Genomic DNA, 22,027 nt, shown 5'->3' with positions numbered 1-22,027 from the left:
CACCATAAGTGAATGGTGGAAAGTCTGTTTAGCAGAAGCCTGGGGGAAACTTTTTTACTGTAATAAAAATAAAACTCAATCCCACGTAACATCGCAAACAAAGGTGGACTCAAGACGGACTAAAAAATTTAGGAATGAAAAATAAAACTATGAAGTCAAAACAAGAAAATGTTGAAGAAAATCTTTGTGACCTACAGGAAAAGGACTCCTTAAACAAAACTTCAAAAACATGAGCTCCCAGGCAACAATGTTAAAAAACTCAATTACATAAAAATTAGGAATTTTTGTTTAACAAAATATACTATAGATGAAGTTAAAAGATGAAATGGGAGAAGATATTTGCAATGTCTAAAACCAAGAAGGTTTTAGAATATCTCACCCTAATTTTCCCTCTTATCCCCATTTCTCACTTCTATTATCTATATGACTGAGATAATTATCACCCAATATTCAATGACAAAATCAGAGATAGGTCTAGCACAAACCATTGGTGAAAATATGACCTGAAACCAAGAATTATGATCAACCTCACTCTCTGCCTCTGAGGTCCATGGCGGGATAAATCATATTTCACAAAATCTGAGACACTCCTTGATTGTTATGATGTCATTATTTTACGTCACTAAGGAAGAAAAGCTGCCAATTAATGATATAATGCTTCCTTGTCATGTCAAATTTTATTTCATATTTTTGCAAATGCTTTTACTGCAAGAATTTTTTTTCAAGCTATGAATAGGCCTTTAAATAATTTTTTAAAAAATATTACTCTTGTCATATGTATAAAGAAGGAAAATATAAGTAAAACAAACTGGTTTAAATATTCCTAAAACTTTTTATATTCAGAATGCAACCCTTCTAGATTATGTTTTAATTCCGACTTGTCAATGCCCTTATTTCTGCACACAGTCCCATCAAGAGTGTTAGAGATGGAACTTTTCTTGTAAGTGGAACCAAGTGAAATTGCTCATTAGACTGTTTTTGACCAAAAGATGGCAAACTTATGTGATTCAACCTAAAAAATTATTGCTCTCTTATCTCCAGAATTTTCTTCCAAGCTGGTTGAAGTTTTGACACTAGTGCTCTCTTGTTCTCCCCAGAAGATATCGATGGAAAGTTGTTTTAAAGACAATGACCAATGACCAGTGATGAAGATATTACTGCTCTTTTCTCTTTCTTTCTTCCTTTCTTTCGTTTTTTGTTTGTTTGTTTGTTTGTTTTGTTTTTGTTTTGTTTTGTTTTTTAGAAACAGCGTGCCACTATGCTGCCCAGGCTGGCCTCAAACTCGTGGGCTCAAGTGGTCCGCCTGACAAATGGCTCTTAAATACCTTTTTGACTGGAAACATCAAGAGGCTGCAGGTGTCCAGTCATGCCACCAAGAATAATATCCAAGGTCATTCATGCACAGGAAGGTAAAATTCTGCTGCCAGTTGGCCAGGAGCCATTGAAAGATGTCCTGTGAATTATAAGAGGTGTTCTAATTTAAGAAGTGTTAAGCAGAGAGCCATCCTAGAATTAATAAATACAGTATGATATTCACAATAAATAAATCATATTAATAAGTGATGGCAAGTGTTTTCAAATGCATACGGTAGAAGGTGACACGAGTGCTGCGGACGCCGTCAGTGCCGTGCCCACAGTCCCCTGTACTCCTCCTGCATCCCACAGGCAGCCGATGCTGCTCACAAGGCAAGTCAGAAATTCCAGGGAGCTGCTACCCCTGGGAGTAGCTGTCAGCCAATGATGAGGACAAGTTAGAAGGAGTTAGTGATCAAATGCCTCAGCTTCCTCGCTCTTCAAGAAAGAGACTCTGAGACTGGTTCTTCATCAATTCCGAGAGCCCCCCAGGGAGCTTGAGGCCCAGTCGCCCACAAGAGGAGCTGCTCAAGATCACATCCTCCACTGGTTTCCGTCTCTCCCCTGTATCTCTTCTCTACTCTCTTGTTGATGCTTCTATTTTTTAATTTAATTTAATTTTTTTATTTGTAGAAATGAGGTCTCACTCTGTTGCCCAGGCTGGTCCCGAACTCCCAGGCTCAAGCAGTTCTCCTACCTTGGCCTCCCAAAGTGCTGGGATCGACCCTGATGCTTCTTGAAGTCTCCCATGAAACAACTTGCACTGAAATCCTTGTTTCGGTGTCTTCTGGGGAGATGCAACCTAAGAGAATTAGCAATTTCATCAAGGACCTTGCAGCATTTGGCCATCATCAGACACAAAAAAGTCATAAGCATCCCTCCCCTCAACATTAGGATTTTCCTGGGGTCTGAACCTGAATGTCACCCCCTCCTAACTTCTCCCTGCAGTCCCAGTTCTCCCAGTCTTCCCTTTGAGTTCTCAGCTTCTCTCAACCCCTCCCCATCCCACCATCTCTACCTTCCCATCATTCCTCATTATTCAGTCTACTTAACTCCTCTTCCCTCTGCTGCCCCCAAGAACTGCATTGTGGGATGGAATGAGCAGAAATTCCCCATACTGAGCCTGACCCCCAGTGGTGGAGATAAGGCATGTCCACAAGTTTCAAGATAAAAAAAAATCAAATTTAAATAACATTAAACGAGCAAGTAATTTTATCCCCCAAGACACTTATATTTAATGGTCAACATACATCAGAGAAGGCCAGGTGCAATGGCTCACACCTGTAATCCCAGTGTTTAGGGAGGCCAGGCAGGTGGATCACCTAAGCCTAGGAGTTTGACACCAGCCTGGGCAACAGAGGGAGACCCTGCCTCTACAAAAACAACAAAAACATTCATCAGAAGTAAAAAAGAAGCAACTCCAAAACTTAGAAGATGCTTGTGATGACCTCATGCTTGCAGATGATGACTGTTTAATGATACCTTATCAAATTGGTGATGTTTTCATTAGCCATTCTCAAGAAGAAACACAAGAAATGTTAGAAGAAGCAAAGAAACATGCAAGAGGAAATTGACACCTTAAAATCCAGAGTGGAATCAATTCAGTGGGTGTCAGCAGATTTGAAAGTTCAGCTGTATGCAAAATTTGGGAGAAACATAAACCTTGAAGCTGATGAAAGTTAAACATTTTATGGGCTGGGTGCAGTGGCTCACACCTGTAACCCCAGCACTTAGGGAGGCTGAGACAGGTGGATCACCTGAGATCAGGAGTTCAAGACCAGCCTGGCCAACATGCAGAACGCCCATCTCTACTACAAATACAAAAATTAGCCAGTGTGGTGGCACACACCTGTAATTCCAGCTACTCAGGAGGCTGAGCCAGGAGAATCGCTTGAACCCAGAAGGCGGAGGTTGCAGTGAGCTGAGATCATGCCACTGCTCTCCAGCCTGGGTGACAGAGTGAGACTCTGTCTCAAAAAAAATTATAATACTCTTAAATATTTGTTTAGTAAACTTGAACATTGTTTTTTAAAAATGTTCAGAATGCAGGTAAAGTCTACATGTAGCCTGCTAGCAAATCCCTATCTTTAACTAGTCATATAGCGTTAATAGGTTTGGAGATAGAAGATGTCAGCAAGCAATGGTGCCTTTTGAACTGGAGGTGGGGGAAAAAACCCCGAAAAGTTAAAACATTTTTTACTCTCCATTCTGCAATTCTTCTTTAGTAACATTAAACAGAAAATATATTCAATGAGCCATTGAGAGACACTGGGTCTCATTATAAAGCAGCAATTAGGCTCACAGAACACAAAGCCATTCAGAGCAGCGCCCATTTCTTGCACTATGCTCCCTGCAGCTCTAGTTAGATGTACAAACTTATGGGTTTAGTAAAGGAAATATGGGCTATTTTGCTTTTTTTTTTCTATCTAGTAGAAGAGGAAGAGGGACTATGAAAGGGGGACTATGGCAAACACATTTAGTTAGAAATCTTTTATTAAAATAAAACACTAAAACAAATATCTTTTTGTTATAATGATCCAGTAATATAAAAGGACACAAAATTAAAAGCACACAATGGCTTATTGCTGCACCTAGGCCAAGGGTGGTGCTGTTCATTGAATTCTTAAATAAGCAATTATGATAACCTATGGTATTAAAGACTGTTGTATTGTCGGGGAAGGTGGAGGTCGAATGCACTGTGCCCGAGAGGACTGCCTTCACTCCTTTGTGGGTTTGATCACACAGATGGGCTTGACCACAGCGCCATCTTTATCAAAAGAACAACATGTAGTTGTTCCAAAATTTTTGTTTAAAAATTTTTAAAACAAACCCCCCTGCATTTCTATCCCCACCAGGGAATAGAGTTTTAATGAACACACGAAGCAACTAGGTGACATCTTTATCAGTCCTCATAAACCTTGATTGAATACACAGTGATAAGCCCTATTTAAACTGTCCTCCTCCTGATAACACACCTGGAGGCAGCACCAGCCTTAGTAACCAGCTGGAAATAAGGCCTCTCCAAAACCCAGAGTGCAGGCCTGTCAGGCACAGAAGCTGCAAGCAATGCAAAGCTCTGGGCCCTCATTTATTTGGGGTGATGGTGGGTAGGTTGGTGCAGGCTTTTCCCTGCTGGACACTTTTTTCAGAACCAGCTTGGGCCTCTAAGGGGCAAGGAAGTGGCTGGAGGTAAAAAGGTGCTTTAAACCCTGCTGACCTTTAGCATTTACATTTGCAAACACAAAGAACCCGGGAGGGGCAGTTGTAAAGGATTTGGGAATGGCCAGCTCTGGTTTTCTTTTTACCAGCATCAAAAATGAGTGAAAGGTACAGACATCTAAAAGGAAAAGGGAGACATGGGATTTTCCCAATCAGCTTGAAGTCTGGATCCTCCTAGTCCTTTGCTTTTTTGGCCCTAGCACACCCTGGGCACTACCCACTTCCAATCACTACTTGCTTCTTCCAAATCCCATCCCCTCCAGCCTTCCCAATACAGAGCCCACAGTGACCCCCACAGGCTGCAGCAGCCAGGGTCACTGGTGTGGGAGGCTGTGATTCTAGGAAACTGGTAGGCTGGTTTTAGCAGCAAGACACACAGGCTTCTGTGGAGGCAGGCTAAAGATCCACTTCACCTGCTGCAGCAGAAACGGCTCTGATACGTCAATGGCAAAAATCGCAATTACTTTTGCACCAACCTAATAATTGGTTTGACTGTTGGAACCATTTAACTATGTACATGTATATCAAAGCATCATGCTGTACACCTTGAAAATGTACAATTTTTGAAAATTAAATTAGGCTGTGCATGGTGTCACAAGTCTGTAGTCCCAGATACTCTGGAGACTGAGGTGGGAGGATTGCTTGAGCCCAGGTGTTGGGAGGCTGCAGTGAGCTATGATCATACCACTGCACTGCAGCCTCGGTGACAGAGGGAGACCCTGTCCCTAAAAAATAATTTTTTTTGGAAAGTAAAAAATGAAATTAAGTCAAATGAGTCTATTAAAAAGAATTTTTCATATTCTCTGCAATTTTTAAAATAAAATTTAATTACCACAACAAGTTATCTTATATAGATCAGGCTGAAATACACAGCATGTCATTCCCGACATTAATAAAATAGAGGTTTTTCACAATAGCCTCTAACACCTGGATGACAATAAAATCTCCCCTCTTCTCCCACCTTGAATGTGCCAATGAAGGCAAAGAGAGACCCCTAAGATGTCTTCCTGAATGTCAGCAACCTCACGCTGTGGCAGACGGTAGTGGAAGGAAGTTTTGCAGCTGGGGAATTCCACTGATCTGTGGAAAACACCTGGCCTCTGCGATGTTCAGGGACATATATCTTCAGATGAGTTTGCAAAAGAGCTCAAGCTCTTTCGACCCAGCAAGTAAATGGGAAGCAAGGTCATGGTCATCTCTAGGGAATTTAGGCTTTAGGATAATAACCTGACTTTTGAGCTATACCTGGCACATGCTCCATGCCAGCAATTGCCCTTGAAACTTTACATGGAATATTATTTGTAAAGTGGTTTCCCATCATTTTACTATAAGTCAGCATCCCTACAACATCAGTATGGTTAATATTATTTGCAATTTTCTTACAAAGAAGGGGTTTTATGCACAGAGAGTGAGAACAAGCAAAGTGACAAAACTAGTAAGTATTGAGGCGAGGATTCTGGTTTTCTGGGTGATAACCTTATGCACATCAGTACACTGTGTGTATTTTCAGACCTAAAACCAGCAGATGTGATGATGACCATCGGTGGGCTTCTGAGGGTGATGAGGCAGCATAGCTGAAATCTCAACTGCCCGGGGCAATCTCATGCAGTCACCAAACCTACCAGAGTTCCTGGGAAGCTCCCAGAAAAGAAAAGATGCCTGGGATCCACTTCGCAGAGCAGAGGCAAGAGACCATGTCTTCACACAGCACTGAACCATCCTAACACTCATGCATTACAAAGGGAAGGAAGTTGACCTCAGGGAAGCGCCAGTTAATCTAATACTACTTCCCTGTGTTCCCCTTTGCACTTAGAGACCCTGCCTCTTTCCATACCATTTCTAGACTCAGAGCGACCATGTAACTTATCATCCAAACAAAGCCTGTGAAAAGAGAACTCTTTTCTAATTCCAACAGGCACCAACTGGGACTGGCCCGGGCAAACGGGACACCTGGTCACCCAATCCACACCCTAAGGAACCCCGTAACATTCATTCCTATCCCTTAGAAGCCATGTTCCATGCAATTCAACCGAGATCATTTTTCCAGATTTGCTGCTTCTCTATGAAAATTCAGTATGTCCAGGTCTAGACTATTATCATTTTTATTTCTTCTTTCCTTCACCAAATATTAATGGAGTGCCTACTGTGTGATATCTTCAGGTCCCCTCAGAGAGCTTGTAGTAAGTTTAGTGATCCTCGAGAGAGATTGGACATCTGGCTTCACCTTGGGTGCAGCACATAGCTTCCCTGAGCTTCAACTTTCCTAATCCATCAAATGGGGACATAAAGTAACGACAGCACAGGATTGTTGTGGGATTAAATGAGTCGGTGCTGTGTGTTACTGCAATCAACAACAGCCACCTGTTTCTTTTTTATTTTCTTTGAAACGGAGTTTCATTCTTGTCGCCCAGGCTGGAGTGCAGTGGCGCAATCTTGGCTCACTGCAACCTCCTCCTCCCAGGTTCAAGTGATTGTCCTGTCTCAGCCTCCCGAGTAGCTAGGATTACAGGCATGCGCCACCACGCCTGGCTAACTTTCGTACTTTTAGCACAGATGGGGTTTCCCCATGTTGGTCAGCCTGGTCTCAAACTCCTGACCTCAGGTGATCCGCCCCCTCAGCCTCCCAAAGTGCTGGGATTACAGGCGAGTCACCGCACCCGGTCCCCCATTTCTGTCTTAACCATTTCATGGAGAGTGATTTTTCTCCCTATAAATGTAGGTGACTCCACAGAACACTCACCTTGTCCTTTCAGCTTGACAGTGGCCTCCAGACGCAGGGCTTTGGGGAAGACACAGGGAAGCGTAAACAATGTACCTCTCTGCCTTTGGGTATTTTAAAGTGAATGGAGGAGGGAAGACATTCATAATTGGAAGTGAGAAGAACCACATGAGTACTTTTAAAAATCAGTGCTGGCCGGGCGCCATGGCTCACGCCTGTAATCCCAGCACTTTGGGAGGCCGAGGTGGGCAGATCACTTGAGGTCAGGAGATCGAGACCAGCCTGGCCAACATGGTGAAACCCTGTCTCTACTAAAAATACAAAAATTAGCCGGTTGTGGCGGCACATGCCTGTAATCCCAGCTACTTGGGAGGCTGAGGCAGAAGAATCACTTGAACCCAGGAGGCGGAGGTTGCAGTGAGACGAGATCGTGCCACTGCATTCCAGCCTGGGCAACAGAGTGACACTCTGTCTCAAAAAAAAAAAAAAAAAAATCAGTGCTTAGTAACCCTGACTACACATGAGAATTGTATGGAGATTTTATTTTTTAAAGCAGTGACCCTACTACTTACCAACTCAATGAGACTTTCTAGGGGGAAAGTAAATAACACAACATTAATAAAAGTGTTTCCTATGCCAGTGAATGGTACAGGAGTAAGTTGTGAGTCCTTTGCAATACTTAGTCATAGAGTAACAGCTGAGCTTTCTGCCGTGTTTACTATGTGCCAGGTATTATAACAAGAGCTCCATGAGTTGGTTGGGAGCAAGATGGCTTCATGGAGCTAGGACTGTGAAGGATAGTGGGACTAGGGTAGATAGAAAGAAGCTGGGCCTTCTATGATGCAAAGAAGGAAATGTCAGTGCATTTTTGGACGGGGGACAAATGGAAGAATGAACTAATTGACTTTTAAAAGGAAAGCAAATTGGTTTTATTTTATGTGTAGTTCACACGTCCTCTGTAGCCTGGATGTATTACTGAAAGCGCACATTCATCCAAAAAAGGGGAGATTTTTATCTTAAAGTACAAAATGTATGGCTTCCTAGACATAAACAAGCAAGCCAACCAACCTATATCCTCACTTCATGGGGCTTTGTGTAACTGACTGTATTCAAAACACAAACTGCAGTGAAACTCCATGGAAAATAAAACAAGAGTAGATCTGAGCAAATTCCTTCCACTTCACCCTTCCTATCTCCTGACCTCTGCTGTATTCCTTACAAAACCAGCAGTGAGTTCTCAGGGCCAGCCTGGAAGCAGCACTTTGGAATCTTAAATTTGACTTTTGGATAAACAAGAATAAAAGAACAACAATCAAAAAGAGAGACAGAGAAAGAGAGAGAGACAGAAACAAAGATTATTAGATTTTAAATTAAAAAATAATAATAAAAGCATGGTCTCATGCAATGTGAGCTCTCTCTCTAAGAGAAGTTACATGAACTGGGGTGTTAGTTAGAAATAGACCAACTGTGAGAAAGCCAAGATTATACAGACAGGAAATAAATCCATCACGTTGCACCATAGGATTTTCTTTTTTTTTTTAAGACAATTTTTTTTTCTTTTTTGTGGCAAGGCCTTGCTCTGTTGCCTGGGCTGGAGTGCAATGGCATGACCAGGGCACACTGCAGCCTCCACCTCCCAGGTTCAAGTGATCCTCCTGCCTCAGCCTCCCTAACAGCTGAGAATACAGGTGCACGCCACCATACCTGGCTAATTTTTAAATTTTTTGTAGAGACTTTTTAAAAATTTTTTGTAGAGATGGAGTCTCCCTATGTTGCCAAGACTGGTCTCAAACTCCCAGGCTCAAGCAATCCTCCCACCTCAGCCTCTCAAAGTGCTGAAATTATAGGCATGAGCCACCACGCCAAGCCAAGACAAAAATATGCATACATATAGGAAAACCAGGGGTCAAAGGGGTTAAGTGGTTTCTGGTAAATTTGGCACACAGTTCCTATTCCAAATCCCATTTCTTTCCACTAAGGTATTTTTTTTCTGCCTCTTTAGTGGGTATTCCATGCTCTCACTCACCCTGGGGTGGGCGAGATAGAGAAAGAAGCCATATTTCAAAAAGCTCTGTTTTGTTCCCAAGAGTTTACTTGCATTGACATCTCTGACACCATCTTAACCATTTAAAGCATCTGCAGACGCTATCTCTGCGTGCCCACATTCATCCCCTCCCTTGCTAACCCAGAGGATTGCATTGGCTCTGCTTGCTAAGCCCTAACACTCAAGCTGCCCGGGGTGGACTGTCCACAGAGGCCATCCTCACTCCCCCTACGCAATGATGAATTGTCCCCCAAGTGTGATGGACCAATTTCAGGAGCCAAAGAACCAAAACCCGAAGAACTTAGTAATCCTGCAACAACAACAACAACAAGAAGCAAACTCCAAGTATTATCCAGGGTCAGGTCGAGGCATGGAGATACTCCAGGCTCATGTGTGTGTTGGAATTCCCGCTGAGCCCTTCAGCCGTCCTCGCTGAGTTTTCAGTCTGTAATGTCTTACAGATTTCGGGGCTGGCCTCTGACAGCTCTGACATATCTGAACTAAGGCTAACCTCAGCTAGTTCCTTTAAAGCCTGATAAGTTATACTGTACCTGTCAAAGCCTCTCTGTTGAGATTTTTCTCCTCTTCTCCAATGGGGCAGCAATAACAACAACAACAAAAAGAATAAAGAAAGAAGGGGAAAATGAATCTTCATTTGACTGGCATAATCTCTTCTGCGTATTATAATTACTGTCATATTATTCCAGATCCTAATTCATATCAAAAAGAAAACATAGGCTGCTTAGTTGAGGGGAAAACATATCAACTCATCTTCCTCTCACTTTCTAAGAGTCATTGTCCTTTCCCAGAATTTATGAAGTCTGAGCTGGGTAAGAGAGAGAAGCAATGTCCACATTGTCCAGAAATGAGACATATCAATTTGCCCCTCCAAAAATTCAACAGGTTCTAAGATCCTCCTCGGCGGAAGTCATTTTTCTGAATAGTGTCACCCTCTGTCACCCGTGTCACCCATGTTGCCCCATCCCAAGCATCATCCTAATAGTTGCACATGTAGCTAGGCCCTGAGTCAGTCTCTGGTGGAGGAACCCTGAGGAGCTCACAGGGAAACTTTCTCAAAAGAAACTGGAAGAAAGGTAAGACCCACCTCCCTAGTCATCCATCCCAAGTCCTGACTAGTGAAGAGGTGTCACTTTAAAATTCCCAAACATTTAGGAAACAAACAACTTAGGGAGATCCAGTCAGACACTACTGCAATCATTGAGTCAGATCGGGAAGGAAAGCATTAGGAAAAAGGTAAAGGCATAAGCAATAATTTCTACTCTTTGCTAATTGCAGTTACATAAGACCTTGAAAAGATCTTTTTCATCTTTTTGTCATAATTATTTACCCATTAAAAAAAAGAAAAGCCTATATATGTACCTTTCAAGACTAATGCAACAGAAAGTAAACTAAAAGCACTATCAGAAAATAAGAATTCCGTAAATGTCAAATCACAAATGATACTGCAAATGATTTCTCAGCAAATAAAATTATCCCAGCTAGACAAATATAATTGCAAAAAGAAACTTCCGAAATGTGCTTTCAGATTGGGTCAGAGCATGTATATTGACGTGCCCAGGACTTGGGTATACGGGAAACATCCAGCCCTCTAGAAGTTTCCATTCAAGATACCTCACTTTCATAACAAATTGTCAAAATCTTTCTTACATGCATACTTTCTTATCGGAAAATTTAAACAGGCCAGGCGCGGTGGCTCACACCTATAACCCCAACTTTGGGAGGCCAAGGCGGGAGAATCACTTGAGACGAAGAGTTCAAGACCAGCCTGGGCAACATACTGAGACCCTATCTCTACAAAAAATAAAAACTAAAAAAAAAAAAATAGCCAGGTGTGGCGGTGCACACCTGTAGTCCCAGCTACTTAAGAGGCTGAGGCAACAGGATCACTTGAGCCTAGGAGCTCAAGCCGGGAGTGAACTATGGTTGTGCCACTACACTCCAGCCTGGGTGACAGAGTGAGATCCTGTCTCTCAAAAAAATAATAATTATAATTTTTTTTTATTTTTGAAAGCACCCTCTTTTTCCCCTCCCACCCCTACCCCTAACCAGCCTCACCTTTCCTCCCAGCTGTAACCCCTGTCAGCTATTTGGTGTTTGTCCCGCCAGGCCGTGTTCTGGGCATTTACTTACACATATGTATATAGTATTTGCCTTTTAAATACGCAATTCCTTACTTAAGGATTAAGGTATCTAAGCTGAGGCAGTTAATTTTTTTTGAGATGGAGTCTCACTTTGTAGCCCAGGCTGGAGAGCAGTGGTGCTATCTCAGCTCACTGCAACCTCCGCCTCCTGGGTTCAAGAAATTCTCCCTGCCTCAGCCTCCTGAGTAGCTGGGATTACATGTACCCACCCCCACGTCCAGCTAAATTTTGTATTTTTTAGTAGATACAGGGTTTCACCATGTTGGCCAGGCTGGTCTTGAACTCCTGACCTCAGATGATCTACCCACCTTAGCCTCCTGAGGCACTTAAATATTAACTTGAACCTCTGGATACGAATTTCATCTCTGCATCTGGCTTACACCCTTTGCCTGATAGAAGCTGACTCTGTAGTAATTATAAAAGAAACCAGTTCTATAGTTAACTCTCAATTATCCAGGGATTCATTTTCCTCATCAGATAACTCCTCGGCCCCCCTGCTTTTTCAGCTCTACTTGGATACCCCTCTTTTGACCATTTCACTTCTCATTCATGAGCCCCTCACCCAGAAAGTCAACTTTCAGTAAGATAGAAAATTGTTGTTATGTATTAGCCCTTTTCATCAATGTGTTCAAAAGCAGAGAAGGTAGAAACAATGTATTTTTTGTTCAATAATGCAAAATATAAGATTTGAGTCTATGTGCAAATTCCACCTACTCACTCCCTAGGGCACCCTTCCTCCACTGCCCACAAACACTGACAATCAAGGTTTGGCTTTGGTTGAGATTTATAGGGGAACATAACTGGATTTCCCTCTCCGTCCTGGTCTGCTAATGTCCAGTTGGCTGATGTTCAGGGCAAGGTGCCAGGCCTTGATTTTGGAGAAGGATCATCCAGAGAGATAGAGGCAGATGTGATTTGGCGGCTGTGTGAGATCTGGCACGGGATTTTACGTGCTGTGGTGTTATGTTTCTTAAACTCAGTACACGCACTTAGAAGGCTGTTCATCATCATCACAGAGTATCCACGCTGCACCTACTTGGCACCAGAAGCATTCTGAATATCTTTTTAAAATAATATTTTTGTGAGAGGCCCAGGATATGCCTGATAGAGTGGCACTGTGTAGTACCACCATGTTATGCTGACACTGGCATTTCATGGGAAATTCAGATCTTTTCCTGCTCCTGACAATAGAGAGAATCCTGGAAAGACATAACAGACATTTTATCATTGCTTTCATTTATTCAGCAAAAACAATAGCAGGCACACGTTTTGAAATGAAACAATATTTCTTGAGCTAATAAAAATGAAGAAGGAAAAAAGTAATTTGAGACCTTTCTCTCCACTCTTCCTCTTTGCCCTTCTTGCATATAATTCACAAATGAGAAAGATGTGCCCCTCTCCTGAACAAAGCCGTCTTACCTGCTGCTTGCAAATCTTTCTAAAACTGGTTTCCAGACCAGGCTGGGATTTCTGACTCATGATAATAGATTCTGGCAGCAGGATTTTGGAAGAGGTGCCGTTAATACTGCACGGTGAAACTCCATCACTTCATTTAACCAAGAATGCTATGATTTTGCTGTCATCAGAACAGAACCCACATATCACTCAAGAAAATAATAGGATTCCAGATATTTTTTAAAAGGATCCAAGTAAAACACCTGGGTGAGCCTTGCAGAAAAAGGTCAGCTAAAATAGAGGTAGCATGGCCCCTCGTCCCTTACTGTCATCAAGTAGCTTATGAAGTTCAGGTTACACAGATGAAGAGCATGGTTCATCTGATTTTGGACAAGGAGTTTAGTTAATTAAAGAAATGCCCTCCCATGTGGAGACTGCCTTCCTGAGGGCTGAATTTCTTCCCATACCAAAGGCAGGAGGCAGGCCCCGTGATCTCAAAGGCCCCCTTCAGATCAAGAATCCTCAGGCCGCCAGTGGGGTTTTCCCTAGTTGGCCTTTTTCCCAGTAATAAAGTTATTAGAAGATTAGGAGGAGAGGGAGATGAGTGAACAAGAGGCCAGCATATTTGCAAGGGGACCATTCACGTTACACAACACCTTGTCCTCACGCCCAGCCCAGCCTCGTTCATAGAAGAAGGCTTGGGGAAACAGACACAATGCTGACACCGCAGTGTCATTTTTTAAAAAATGACAAGTCACTCTTTCTTTCTCTCTCTCTCTTTCTTTCTTGACAGGATCTTGCTCTGTTGCCCAGGCTGGAGTGCAGTGGCATAATCACAACTCACTGCAGCTTCCATCTCCCAGGCTCAAGTGATCCTCCCACCTCCACCTCCCAAAGCTCTGGGATTGCAGATGTGAGACACTGCACCTGGCCAAGGTTTGTAACATTCTAACCAGCTAATTCTATTTTCAGTCTTTCTCATTGGCACCTTAGTTACTATAAAAATAATTTCTTTTACTAAAAATAATAAGTATCAGCTGGCACAGTGGCTCTCGCCTATAATCCCAGCATTTTGGGAGGCCAAGGTGGGAGGATTGCTTGAGCCCAGGAGTTTGAGACCAGCCTGGGCAACACAGTGAGACTCCACCTCTACAGAAAATAAAAAAATTAGCCGGGCATGGTGGTGCACACCTGTGGTCCCAGCTACATGGGAGGCTGAGGCAGGAGGATCACTTGAGCCCAGGAGGTCGAGGCTGCAGTGAGCTATGATCATGCCACTGCATTCTAGCCTGTGTGACAGAGCAAGACCATGTCTCAAAAATAAGAATAGAAATAGACAAATAAACAAATATCAATAGATAAAATGACAAATAATAATAGGTCTTTCTCTCATTGGTGTTATGAGGATTCAATGAGATAATAATGTATGGTAAACCCTTAACACAACAATAATTAGCTGTAGTAAGTAATAATTGTTAGCTATTGTTGCATGGGTGGCAACCCACTTTTACATGGTCCCTTGATTTATGATAGGAATTTCATAAATTTCATGTTATTTCACCTAGTCCAATGTTTAACACATATTTAATGAATGCCTACCACCATGTGCCAGACACCCTTCTGAGCACTGAAAATACATGAGTGTACAAAAGAGACAGAACCCCTAGTCTCACAGGATGTGTGTTCCAGTTGGGGGAGACCAATAATAAACAAGAAAATATGGCGGGGCGTGGTGGCTCATGTGTGTAATCCCAACACTTTGGGAGGGTGAGGCGGGAGGATTGCTTGAGCCCAGGAGTTCAAGACCAGCATAGGCAACATAGTGAGACCCCATCTCTACAAAATATATATATATATTTTTAAATTAGCCAGGTGTGCTGGCACATGCCTATAGTCCCAGCTGCTTGGGAGGCTGAGGTGGGAGGATCACTTGAGCCCAGGGTTTGGAGGCTGCAGGGATCTGTGATCATGTCCCTGCACCACAGCCTGGGTGACAGCAAGAGACCCTGCCTCAAAAAAGAAAGTTTAAGAGCTCTGAAGCTTAGCGTAGAAACAAATGCTTGTGTCTGCTTCAAGCATTTGTTGAGATGAAATAAACCTACTGGCTTTGGGAGCCAGAGAAGAGAACCTGCACAAACGGGGAACAAACTCATCAGCCACATCCTCACTGTCCTCCTGAATCCTTACAAAATAAATCCCGCAGCCGCTGAATGTGGCAGGTTCTGTGACACCCCCTGTTTCCGGCAGAGGAAAGGAAGGCTGGGAGGGTGACATGACTTAGGCCAAGGTCTCATACAGCTTGTGGGGGCAGAGCCAGTATTGACTGAATCCAGATCGAGGGAGACTCAAGCCTGATCTTTCCCCTTCTCTGCACTGCCCCCCAGAACGGGAGCAAGATAAGTGAAAGTAAAACCAGCCAGGAGACTCCATGCATGCTTGCATTATGAGATACTCAGTTTGATCCAAACATTCTCAAACCTTGCTAGCTCACAAAGTAAGGAATTTGGGGTGGGGTTGAAAAGGGTCAGTAAATTAGATTTAGACTTCTACTTTGGTTAAAAATCCAAATTTCTAATCAGTTTACTGAAGAAGAAAAGTTGCTTCCACTACAGGCTGCAGAGTGTCCAAGAATCCATTAGCAAGATTTGGGGGAACTCCATTAAAATTTCTGCAGGAGATAACCCTACCTTCTCCACCCAGTTAGGGAGTCCCCAGCCTACTTAGGAGGAAGCTGCCAAGAGCTTTGGTCCTCAGAGAGGAGACAAAGCTACATCAATCAAGTCAGTATTTATTCAGTGCTGACAAGCCCAGAACTGGGATCTGCCAGCAAGAAATTCTGGTCCCTGTCACCAATTTGTTTATAATCTGACTAAACAGAGATCTGCTTACGCAAAATGCTTTGTAAGCAATTCAGTAAGATTTAACTGCAGGCTAGCCCAGAATGGGTGCTTAACAAATATGTGTTTCAGAATTTCTTTTTCTTTCTTTTTTTTTTTAAACTTGTAAGAGCTCAGATGCAGGAGAGATCCACGGGCCTCGGAGCTGCTGGGAAGGTTTCATGGCTGGGGGTCAGAATGGGGATGTGCACTGGATGGGGAAGATTTAGAAAGGGAAGAGCCTGAGCAAAGCTTTCATCATCCCCGAGCCCTGGTGTGTTAGTCCGTTCTCACACTGCTATAAAGAACTACCCGAGACTGGGTAATGTATGAAGAAAAGAGGTTTAATTGACTCACAGTTCCACAGGCTGCACAGGAAGCATGGCTGGAAGGCCTCAGGAAACTTACAATCATGGCGGAAGGTGAACGGGAAGCAAGCACGTCTTATCATGGCAGAGCATGGGAGAGAGTGCACGAAAAAGGAAGTGCCACACACTTTTAAGCAACCAGATCTCGTGAGAACTCACTCATACCCCGAGAACAGCAAGGGAGAAACCCACCCCCATGATCCAATCACCTTCCACCAGGTCCCTCCCCCAACACTGGAATTACAATTCAACATGAGATTTGGGTGGGGACAGAGCCAAACCATATCACCTGGAGAAAGTGGACAGTTGTGACCCAAGAAGGCTGTCTCTTCTCAGGTCCCAGTTGAGCGCTTGCTTTTGTGACATGAATGTCCCCTAACCTTTTTTACTGGCACAGTGACTCATGGCAAAAGCAATGCACTTTGTCCCAAGCAGAGACTGCAGCAGTAGGGAATATCAGGAAACCTTGGGATCTGCCCGCCTGCAGGTGGTGAGGTCCTATTAGTGGGTGGACAACGCGTCCTTGTTTGCCATGGGTGTGAGATCATTGCTCTGCTGTCTGCTGGCACTCCCCTGGAGCTGCCTCAGGCTGGTGGGTGAGTTAGGTCTCTAAGGATGTTCCATACAGGGACTGGCCCTAAAGTTAATGCAGCTTAGGCTGCAGGACCCTCATTTGCACAGGCCCTCCAAGGCTTGGGAAGGGTCCAGCAGTGTTTTCACATTTGCATGATTACATTGTTTTTTCTTTTTCTTTTCTTTTTTGAGACAGGGTCTTACTCTGTCAACCACACTGGAGTGCAGTGGCACAATCTCAGCTCACTGCAGCCTCAACCTCCTGGGCTTGAGCAGTCCTCCTGCCTCATCCTCCCAAGTAGCTGGAACTATAGGCACACACCACAATGCCTGGCTAATTATTTTATATATAGAGAGAGAGATGGGGTCTCACTGTATTGCCCAGGCTGGTCTCAAACTCCTGGGCTCAAGGGATCCTCCTGACTCGGCTGTATTCCCAAAGTGCTGGGAATACAGGTGTGAGCCACCACACCCAGCCAAAAATAATATATTTAACTGCTATCAGTTATGACTATTTTCTGTTTCTACTCTCACTTTCCTTTCTCCACTCTTTCCCTGTGCCAGGTGGGATGGACCAGCCATGGGCATATCTGAAGGTACATTGAGGCAGATGAGAATGCATTGAGGGTACATTTATTTGGGGTTTTGTTGGATACATTTATGTGGCTTACAATTACTTCTGTGAATTCTTCACTTATTACTTATTACTAAGCTATCTTAGGAGCACCCTCATCTCACTCCCTGCCTAGTGTTATGACGGGAAGAACCAGGGCTATCCCTATACACTGTGTCCTATGGCATCTGGCATGAGAAGTACATAGATTGTGGAGGAAAAAGGTTTGAAATGAATCAAGCCAGAAGGTGGTCTGTGAAAAATTCTTCCAACTGTCAGACATGGAAAATGGTAAGCCAAAGGTTCCATTAACAACTACTAGTCAATGGCGGAGTATGGTGACTCATACCTGTAATCCCAGCACTTTGGGAGGCCGAGGCAGGTGGATGGCTTGAGCCCAGGAGTTTAAGACCACACTGGGCAGTTTAGTGAGACCTCATCTCTATTTAAAAAATAAATTAAAAGAAAAAAACTAATCAAAATGGAATTTGTCTCCTGTGAAGAATATGTTAGCCGGGTGCGGTGGCTCACGCCTGTAATCCCAGCACTTTGGGAGGACAAGGCGGGCAGATCATGAGGTCAGGAGATCAAGACCATCCTGGCTAACATGGTGAAACCCCATCTCTACTAAAAATACAAAAAATTAGCCGGGCGTGGTGGCAGGTGCCTGTAGTCCCAGCTATTCTGGAGGCTGAGGCAGGAGAATGGCGTGAACCCAGGAAGCGGAGCTTGCAGTGAGCTGAGATCGTGCCACTGCACTCCGGCCTGGGTGACAGAGCAAGACTCCATCTCAAAAAAAAAAAAAAAAAAAAAAAAAAAAACGAATATACCTGATAATACAGCACATACAATTATGAACAAACTTTGCTTTTTTTCTTTTTGGAGGGGATCACACAAAATACAATTTTCAGAATTTCTCTATAGGTATGGGATAAAACTGCAGAAGCACTACAAACAGCAAGTTATAGTCATGTGTGAAATCCTATGTGTTATGCATCCCAACCATCAATAATAATTACCAAGCAACCACGCTAATAGGAACAGCTGAATTACATTTCTATTTTCTCTACTAAAAATGATTGTAGAAAATTGCAGACACATTGAAAGACAATCAAAGAGTATAAAGCTAAAGATATGGGGGAAAGAAGCATTAGATACGTTAGGGGGCTCAGTAATAAAAATGTGCATTTTTTCTGGATTTGGAGACATTTGTAGTCTTTTTTCTAATTGTGATCAGTTGTGATTTATTTTCTCATTCTAAATAAAAATTTATTTTCACATATACATTTGTATTTGTCATTTTCTGTTATCTTCCTAAAGATGACACCCAAATTATATACGCTCTGGGCCTCACAAAACCTTGATCCACCTCCTGAATGTCCATATTAGCTTATAGAACTGATAATCATCCTTGCCAGGACCATGGAAAACACTGATTTTTGTTTCTCTGGTAGACAGGCAGTATGTTATGATGCTTAGGGGCCAGGAACTCTGGGACCAGAATGCCAGAGTTCAAATGCCACGTAAAGCATGACCCACAGTTTCTATCATTTATAAGACACTTAGAAAGTGCCGCTTCATAACACTTCGTAAATATTCACTATATTATTATTAGACTTAGACATGTCTTCTCTTGTTCTAAACCCTTATCCAGTTACAATAATTGCAAGATACAGAATTTTGAGAAATCATTTGTGATTATATTTTATGTACAGCAATTTTTAAATGAAACACTACTCTAAACTAAAAGTAAAGAATGAATTAGGGCTGGGCACGGTGGTTCACACCTGTAATCCCAGCACTTTGAAAGGAGGTGGTGGCAGGAGAATCGCTTGAGCCCAGGAGTTTGAGGCTGCAGTGAGCCATAATCATGCCACTGCATGCCCTCCTGGGCAAAAAAGCAAGACCCCAACCCTAAGGGAAAAAAAAAAAGAATGAATTGGAGCTCTCTGTCCCTTTGTTTCCCACCACATGGTAGCATGAGGATGGAGTGCAAGCGCTGGATGAATTCAGCTTGAGTAAAGCCAGGTGATGGAGAGGAGAACGTGTAAAGGTCAGAGGTCCATTCACCAATGCAATGATCCTCACTGCCCCAACGCTAAGCCAGGGAGGAGCAGGGCTTCATTCTATTCACTAAGGGGATTTTACTGACCCCTTGTGGGAGAAGAGGTTGGTGCATCCAATAAACATCCCAGTTTGGGGAACATGTTCTCCTGCAGTCCTTCACCCGAAAAATTCAAGGAACAGAAAGGTGAGGTAGGTTACTAACTGCCCGAGTTCTTCCCATTCAACTCGAAACTCTTTACAGTTACTTCTCAGATCAACTTCTTTCCTGACACTCTTCAGAGTTCTCATCAAAGGCAGGAGGAGTTTGATGTCAGGAATATGGGCTTTGGGTGTTCAAAAACAAAATGAAGGAAGGAAAGCAGGGAGGAGGGAAGCAGGCAGGGAGGGAGGAAAGATAAGAAAAAAATTTTTTGGATCTTAGCACAGCTACTGGCAAATGAAAGACTGTAAGCAATCTGTTTAACTCCCTGGGCCTCCCTATCCTCACAGGTGAAATGAAACTCATAATGCTAATGATTGAATCAGATGGTGTATATAAAGTGCCCGTGCGCAGCCCACAGTGGATGCTAAATAAGTGTCTGTTGTTATCGTTAAACATGATGCTGCCATATTTACTCAGTATCATGATACTCATTCGACAGTTACTTCACACTACTATAAAGCACATCTTTTGAAAGAAAAAAAAAACAGAAGTTTCTTTTAAAAGAACAATTTCCTCAGCAGAGACCAGGCTTGACATAGTCTCTGACAGTATACACAGATGGAAACCACTTCTTGTCCAGACAGCCCGGCTTACCTCGTGCAGGCCAGGCCATTCCGGGGTGGAGAGGGTTGGGAGGGGTCACGGACAGCACCACCCCTTCTGTAGAGCGGGCGGGGCAGCCTAGCTCGGGCGTGTCTTCACTTCTTTTCCCGTAGGAAATGCCTAGGGTCCTACGCAAGTAAATTCTCTTTGCTGCGACTGGAGAGAGACGATTCCCATTTATCCAGCCTCCTCATGTTCTGGCCTAAGACGCCCTCGGCCCTCCAGGGGAGTGGGCTCCCGAGCAGGGCGGTTCCACGGTTAGATGGAGAGGAGGGGCGCGGGAAGACCGCACAAGGCCGGCTTCGCTCCCTCCGCGGCAGGTACCAGGGGCCTGGGCAATGCCTCCTCACTCTTTTCGCCTTCGTCCCCAGGGGAGGGGAGATGGGGCTGAAGGATAACAGACACAACTAAACTGGAGAGACTGGGTTAGAGGAAAACGAACTGCCTGGCTTGGAACCACTTGGCCAGACCCCTGGAGTGAATCCCACACCTTTCCAGGCTGCTTGACCTCCCTACTCATTAAGCCAGTGCAGCCCAGAATCCTGACCTCCCAGGCCTCCTTCCCAAGGTCCCCCCGCTCTGGAATGGCAGCATCTCCGACTTTTCCTTTTTCTGTCTCCCGCTACAGAGCAATCGAAAAAATAAGTTCTTCTATGTATAGTAAGATATTAAAAGTCATTATTGACCATGCGCAGTGGCTCACGCCTGTAATCCCAAAACTTTAGGAGGCCGAAGCAGGAGATGGCTTGAGTCCAAGAGTTTGAGACCAGCCTGGCCAACATGGCAAAACCCCATTTCTACCAAATATATATATATGTATATATATATTTTAAATATATATATATGTATATATATATTTTAAATATATATATATATTTTAAATATATACAACATATGTATGTATTATATATATGTATGTATGTATACAAAAATTAGCCGGGCTTGGTGGCACACGCCTGTGGTCCCAAGCTACTTGGGAGGCTGAGGTAGGAGGATTTCTTGAGCCAGGGAGGTTGAGGCTGCTGTAAGCTGAGATCCCGCCACTGGACTCCAGAGAATGCGACAGAGCAAAACCTGGGCATCAGAGTGAGAACCTGTCTCAAAAAAAAAAAAGTCATCGTTGTTAAAATGTGAAAAGTTAGATGAGGTCATCATGTATGCTATATGTATGTTTTTAAAAAGAAAGGAGATACCAATACATACATGCGTGTATTTCATAATATTAAAATAAAAAACAGTGTATTTTTCTACTAAAAATACATTAAACACTGTCTCTACTAAAAAATTAATAAACTATACTATTGTTTATAGGAGAATGAGGAGCTGAGTGGAAGAAACAGGGATAGAAGAGAGACTTCTTCCTTGCAGATGAGCAGTCTGGGTAATAATCATTATCATCATTTAAAAAAGAAAGAAAAATAGGAAGATAGACTTCTTTGAATATATTGTTTTGGAGAACTGACTTTGGAACAGTGTACATATTTTTCATAATTTAAAATGAAATTAATAAATGAATTAATAAAATAATTCTTAATATCCAAAAGTAAAATTAAACTTCTGCACCCAGTTGATAGCATAACTACACAGATACTATACCAACAGACTGTAAAACACGATAATTTGATGATCTATCTCTAGTTAGATACACCCTAATGATAGAGCCAAACAAAAAAATTCAACTTTTCGGAAATCATATTGTTGATAACATTAATATTGTTATTGTACAATAAATCAAATAATTTTTAAAACATTTTTTAAAAAGAAATGTAGGTATAAGATCAATAAGGTGGCTGGGTACAGTGGCTCATGCCTGTAATCCCAGCACTTTGGGAG

The 22,027-nt window shown here is 43.0% G+C and overlaps 1 long non-coding RNA gene across 2 annotated transcripts, besides 1 other annotated feature; it reads right to left on the bottom strand.

Moving 5' to 3' along the window:
* Nucleotides 1-658: 658 nt before the first annotated feature.
* On the bottom strand, nt 659-20,469 carry LOC105372016 (uncharacterized). 2 transcript variants are annotated; one of them, XR_935276.3, is made up of 4 exons: nt 20,186-20,469; nt 9,887-9,919; nt 2,051-2,155; nt 659-1,453 (listed from the first exon to the last, which is right to left on the bottom strand). It is a non-coding gene; the product is annotated as an uncharacterized LOC105372016 (long non-coding RNA). The 2 variants fall into 2 exon arrangements; XR_935277.4 differs by lacking the exon at nt 9,887-9,919 and having other exon boundaries at nt 20,186-20,468.
* Nucleotides 6,024-6,621: an enhancer, noted in NCBI's record as "OCT4-NANOG hESC enhancer chr18:19490742-19491339 (GRCh37/hg19 assembly coordinates)". NCBI's record gives its function as "activates a minimal SCP1, AML or CMV promoter by ChIP-STARR-seq in primed H9 embryonic stem cells {active_cell/tissue: H9 hESC(primed)}" and the evidence as "EXISTENCE:reporter gene assay evidence [ECO:0000049][PMID:30033119]".
* Nucleotides 20,470-22,027: the final 1,558 nt, after the last annotated feature.

The sequence above is a fragment of the Homo sapiens genome, chromosome 18 (assembly GCF_000001405.40).
Source record: "Homo sapiens chromosome 18, GRCh38.p14 Primary Assembly".
NCBI lineage: Eukaryota > Metazoa > Chordata > Mammalia > Primates > Hominidae > Homo > Homo sapiens.
Note: the sequence above shows the minus strand (reverse complement) of the source record. Positions and strands in the feature narration are given on the sequence as shown.